Here is a 6000-nt window from a genome sequence, read left to right as displayed (position 1 = left end):
ACAATTCGTAATGAACTGAAAGACAATAAGAGAGTACAAATCAGCACCCCCACGTCTTTCCCCTCCAACAAATAAAAAAGTCCACAGCAGCAATTAAAACCAGAATGGGACAAAACCCAGTGCTTCAAAGAATTATAGCTAAGGAAAGAAACATGACTGTGGAATGGTGAGCCTCTTAAACCCAACCCACTCCTCAGGAGCCCTAGTGACAGGTAGGAAAATTCCTGAGAATTTTGTCTTACACTCCCCAATCTGGAGAGAAGCAACCTGAGTCTGTGACCTTATATTTGCCCTGACTGGAGTTAGGGGAAGTCACCATGTTTGAAATTAATGATTCAGGTACAATGAACAAGGGCTGCCCCTCCCTGAGAGAAGTAAAAATTTCAGAACTAACAATGAATTTGGGGCATGATCCAAAATAGGAAAGCATATCTCAGAGAATAATACTTTGCCATGTTGAGTGAAACTTGACGCAAGAACTTCAAAGCCCAGGTCCTTTTAACAAAGATTGCTCAACATTGTAACTGAAGTCTCTTCCTCCCTCTACTGCCCTGCTCTCAAGCTACTGGGGAAGAGAATGAAAGATCCTGTGTGAAGCCAGAGGAAAACTCCTCAGCTGATACTGCCACATTTGGCAACATTGAAAAAATATCAATGCTTTTCTTGTGTTCAAGATTTATCAATGCTAATAAAAGATCATCTTCTAGGAACTTAGAATTGTAAGAGAATAGAGCACATTGAACAATTTTTGTTATTGCTCAGAAAACATCACAGACTATGTGTATTTCTGAAAATACAAAAAAGTAGAAGAAAAGAAACGAATCTTGGTAATGCCATTCTCCATTTAAATGATGATCATAGACCTATTGTCAAACACATTAACAACATTGTAAAACAAACAAATACGTTAAACAAAAAAAGTTTTGTGACACCATGTACTTTTCCAATGAATAAGGCTTAAAAATGTAAGTGTTAACAAGGCCCAGAGCAGTGTTTTGTAAACCAAGGGTCTTATACAATTAAATAATTATTTGATCCTAGCGGCTCAAAATTAGTATTTTTAAAAATTATAAAATAAAATGGAACAGAATAAAAATATAGTTTACCCTTAAACAACTTGTGGGTTAGGGGTGCTGATCTCCCTGAGAAATTGAAAATCCCTGTGTAACTTCTGACTCACCAAAAGCTTACCTACAAATAACCCACTATTGACCAGAAGCTTTACTGGTAACACAGAAAGGTGATTAATGTATATTTTGTATGTTATATATATTATATACTGTATTCTTACAATAAAGCTAGAGAAAAAATGTTATTTAGAAAATCATAAGGAAGAGAACAACAACTCTTGTTGTTCAAGGCTGCACTGAATATCAGTGCATTTTGTAAAGGTAAGTTTTTTTTTTTTGTAAAACTGTTACTTAATTTGTGTGTGGGCATGTGTTCACAGAGTTGTAATGTAAAATGCATTTCTTTCTGGGGATTATAAAAAAGAATTTTTAAGGCCATCAACCTACAAATTAAAAATTATATCTCAGATGCATAAAGGCCACCTATATCTTACATTAGAGAAAATAAAACACAAGAGAGAAAATCTTTTACAATAAATAGCATACCAAAATCGAATCTTCACTAGTCAGCAAATTAAGTCTGTTTAGGTAATTAGACTATAGAAATTCAAGGTTTCTTTTTATCATCTTAAAGTGAGGCTCCCTCCAACCTTTCTTTTAATTAAAAAATGTATCATTAAGCCCTAGAGACCACTTATGTTCTTGTCCTAATTCCCACCTATTCCAAAATATTACTTTTCTTAAAACTCGAGATTTATGAATGTTATTCTACAATTTTCTTACTAAATAAAGACTTGCCTTTTCTAATTCTAAATTGATCATATAGACAATATTAAATGTGAAAAGGCTAGTCATTAAAATTTCACAGATACAGCCACCTCTGTACACAAAAGCAAATTCATAGCTTTAAATCATATACTAAATATAGGATAGGAGAAACAAAAGGCAGCTAGGAGACACGACTAACATGCAGATCCCACTTAGATGGAAAGAACAGCATCTAAATACTCACACTGTGAACATTTACTTCAAGAACAACTGTAAGAACATACCAGGAAAATAGAAAGAATTCATAGATCCTTCGAAAGAAGCAGCTTACTGCTGCAAATGCTGTGAGACAGCCAAAAAACTGTGAGTTCCCAAAGTGTGAGAGGGGAAAAAGTCAGCCTCCAAACACACATTCCCACTGGAAAACTTGAAAATCCAGGTTACTGGAGAAGGATTTAACCTTACCTAGAGCTGAAATGGATTTAGGGGGCTGAACAACATATGAAAATAGAGGAAGCAATGGGAAGGGCCCTGTAAGCACTCCCAGTTCTCAGCTCAAGCCCAGGGAAGCCATTATTGGCCTTATCTCACAGAGGTCCTTGGGGACGGGAAGGCAGCCAGAGGAATTTGGGAGGGTCCACAGGGTGAAGGAAGCTCCTAGCTGAACTTTGTAATCATTTCAACTGAGCATGAACTTTTCCTGAGCAGAATCCAGTGTTGGGAGGGTGAAAGGGAAGTACAGATGAGTGCAGAAGCCACAGCCAAAGGTGTGGGCAGGTGGGGAGGGGCAAGGTCTGAGAGCCCTGCTTGCTTTCTCAGTGGGGAGGCTTGTAGCCTGGGGTAAGATCTCAGCCCTGCTTGAAGGCTGCCTGGATATAAACTCAGCATGATTAGGGAGGCATGGCAGGAGTGAGACTGGCCTTGCTGGCTGTGTGTGAGCTGGGTGAGGCCTTTCACTGCTGGCTTTCCTTCACTTCCCTATGACACAGTAGAGGCAGCCATAACCCCCCTGGGAACATAACTCCATTGGCCTGAGAACCACCCCCAATCCCCTATAGTGGTCACAGTAAGTCTCACCCAAGGAGAGTCTGAGCTCAGACCCACCTAACCCTGCCCCCACCTGATGGTTTTTTTCTACCCACTCTGGTAGCTGAAGACAAAAGGCATAACATCTTGGGAGCTCTATGGCCCTGCCCATCACCTGAGAAACTAGAGTACTCATCCTGGCCAATGTAGGACAAGATTATATCCCCCTTCTACTACTGCAGCTGGAACTCTCTTGATAAACTGCCACCTCCTGGCTGGAGGCCAACCAATTCAAGCCATTACAGCAACTTAGACAAGAACAACACTGCTCCAGTGAAGGAGAAAACAATAGCTAATTCCACTAACTGCAATACCCTGGCTAGCCAGAGGTCTTCAGTCTGTTTACATGACAACTTAACTGTTAGCATAACCAGGATTCCAGAAAACCAGTGTACTAAACAAAAGTACAACCAAAGACTTCCACAGAGTCTACTCTTCTGCCACCTCCAATGGAGCAGGTGCTGATATTCATGGCTGGGAGACCTGAAGATGAATCACATCACAGGACTTTTTGCAGACGTTCTCCAGCACCAGCCTGGAGCTCAGTAGCCCCGCTGGGTGGCTAGACTGAGAAGAACAATAACAATCACTGCAGTCTGGCTCTCAGGAAGCCCTATACTTACAGGAAGAGGGAGAGCACCACATCAAGGGCTCACTCTGTGGGACAAAAGAATCTGAATGGCAGCCCTTGAGTTTCAGATCTTTCCATTGAAGCAGTCTACTCAAAGGAGAAGGCAACAGAAAAGTAATTCTGGTAATATGACAAAACAAGGTTGTATAAAACCCCTGAAAGATCACACTAGCTCTCCAGCAATGAATCCAAATGAAAAAGAAATCTCTGAATTGCCAGAAAAAGAATTCAGAAGGTTGATTATTAATCTACTTAAGAATGCACCAGAGAAAGGTGATAACCAACTTAAATAATTTAAAAAACAATACAGGATATGGGTGAAAAAGTCTCCAGAGAAATAGATATCATAAAGAAAAGACATCACAAGTTCTGGAAATGAAAGACACACTTAGAGAAATGCAAAATACACTGGAAAGTTTCAATAGAATTGAACAAGTAGAAGAAAGAAAATCAGAGCTTGAGGATAAGTCTTTTGACTTAACCGGATCTGACAAAGACAAAGAAAAAATATTTAAAAAATGAACAAAGCCTCCAGTAAATTTGGGATCATGTTAAATGACCAAACATAAGAATAATTGGTATTCCTGAGGAAAAGGAGAAATCTAAAAGTTCAGAAAAATTACTTGAGGGAATAATCAAAGAAAATTTCCCTGGTCTTGCTAGAGATGTAGACATCCAAATACAAGAAGCTCAAAGAACACCAGGAAATTCATTGCATAAAGATCGCCACCTAGGCACATAGCCATCCCGTTATCTAAAGTCAAGATGAAGGAAAGAATCTTAAGAGCTGTGAGGCAAAAACATCAGGTAACCTATGAAGGAAAACTTATCAGATGAACAGTGGATTTCTCAGCAGACACCCTGCCAGCCAGAAGGGACTGGGGCCCTATCTTTAGCCTCCTTAAACAAAATAATTATCAGCCAAAAATTTTGTATATAGCAAAACTAAGCTTCATAATGAAGGAGAGATAAAATCTTTTTCAGACAAGCAAATGCTGAGAGAATTTGCCACTACCAAGTCAGCACTACAAGAAATGTTAAAAGGAGTCCTGAGTCTTGAAATAAACCTGAAATATACTAAAATAGAAGCTCCTTAAAGCATAAATCTCACAGGATCTATAAAACAATAACACAATGAAAAAAACCCAAGGTATTCAGGCAACAGCTAGCATGATGGATACAACAGTACCTCACATCTCAATACTTAACTTTGAATGTAAATGGCCTAAATGCTTACTTAAAAGATACAGAATGGCAGAGTGGATAAAAATCCATGAACCAAGTATCTGCTGTCTTCAAGAGACTCACCTAACACATAAGGACTCACATAAACTTAAGATAAAGGAGTTGAAAAGGTATTCCTTGAAAATGGAAACCAAAAGTGAGCCAGAGTAGTTATTCTTATATCAAACAAAACAGACTTTAAAGAAACCGTTGAAAAAGACAAAGAGGGGCATTATTTAACAAAAGGATTAGACCAACAGGAAAATATCACAATCCTAAATATACATGTGCCTAACACTGGAGCTCCCAAATTTATAAAACTATTACTACTAGATCTAAGAAATGAGATAAGATGGCAACGCAATAGTAGTGGGGGACTCCATACTCCACTGACAGCACTAGAGAAGTCATCAAGGAAGTCAACCAAGAAACAATGGACTTAAACTATATTCTAGAACAAATGGACTTAACAAATATTTACAGAACATTCTACCCAACAACTGCAGAACATACATTCTTTTCATCAGCATATGGAACATTCTTCAAGATAGACCCTATGATAGGCCACAAAACAAGTCTAAATAAATTTAAGAAAATCAAAATTATATTAAGCACTCTCTCAGATCACAGTGGAATAAAATTAGAAATCAACTCCAAAAGGAACCCTAAAAACTATACAAACACATGGAAATTAATCTGCTACTGAATGATCTCTAGGTTAACAATGAAATCAAGAGGAAAATTAAACAATTAGTTGAACTGAAAGATAATAGTGACACAACCTATCAAAACCTCTGGGATACATCAAAAGTGGTGCTAAGAGGAAAGTTTATAGCATTAAATGCCTACATTGAAACTCTGAAGGAGTACAAATGGACAATCTAAGATCACACTTCAAGGAACTAGAAAAACAAGGACAATCAAAACCCAAACCCAGCAGAGGAAAAGAAATAACAAAGATCAGAGCAGGACTAAGTGAAATTGAAACAAGAAAAACAATACAAAAGATAAATGAAACAAAAAGCTGGTTCTTAGAAAAGATAAACAATATTGATAGACCATTAGCGAGATTAACAAAGAAAAGAAGAGAGAAGACTCAAATAAACTTAACTAGAAATGAAATGGGAGGTATAACAACTAATACCACAGAAATACAAAAGATTATTCAAGGCTACTATGAACAGCTTTACGCACACAAACTAGAAGACCTAGAAGAGATGG

General features: G+C 38.0%; 1 annotated feature.

Annotated features, from left to right (window-relative positions):
• Positions 3308 to 3884: an enhancer, noted in NCBI's record as "NANOG hESC enhancer chr6:75674378-75674954 (GRCh37/hg19 assembly coordinates)". NCBI's record gives its function as "activates a minimal SCP1, AML or CMV promoter by ChIP-STARR-seq in primed H9 embryonic stem cells {active_cell/tissue: H9 hESC(primed)}" and the evidence as "EXISTENCE:reporter gene assay evidence [ECO:0000049][PMID:30033119]".

Source organism: Homo sapiens, chromosome 6 (genome assembly GCF_000001405.40).
Source record: "Homo sapiens chromosome 6, GRCh38.p14 Primary Assembly".
NCBI lineage: Eukaryota > Metazoa > Chordata > Mammalia > Primates > Hominidae > Homo > Homo sapiens.
Note: the sequence above shows the minus strand (reverse complement) of the source record. Positions and strands in the feature narration are given on the sequence as shown.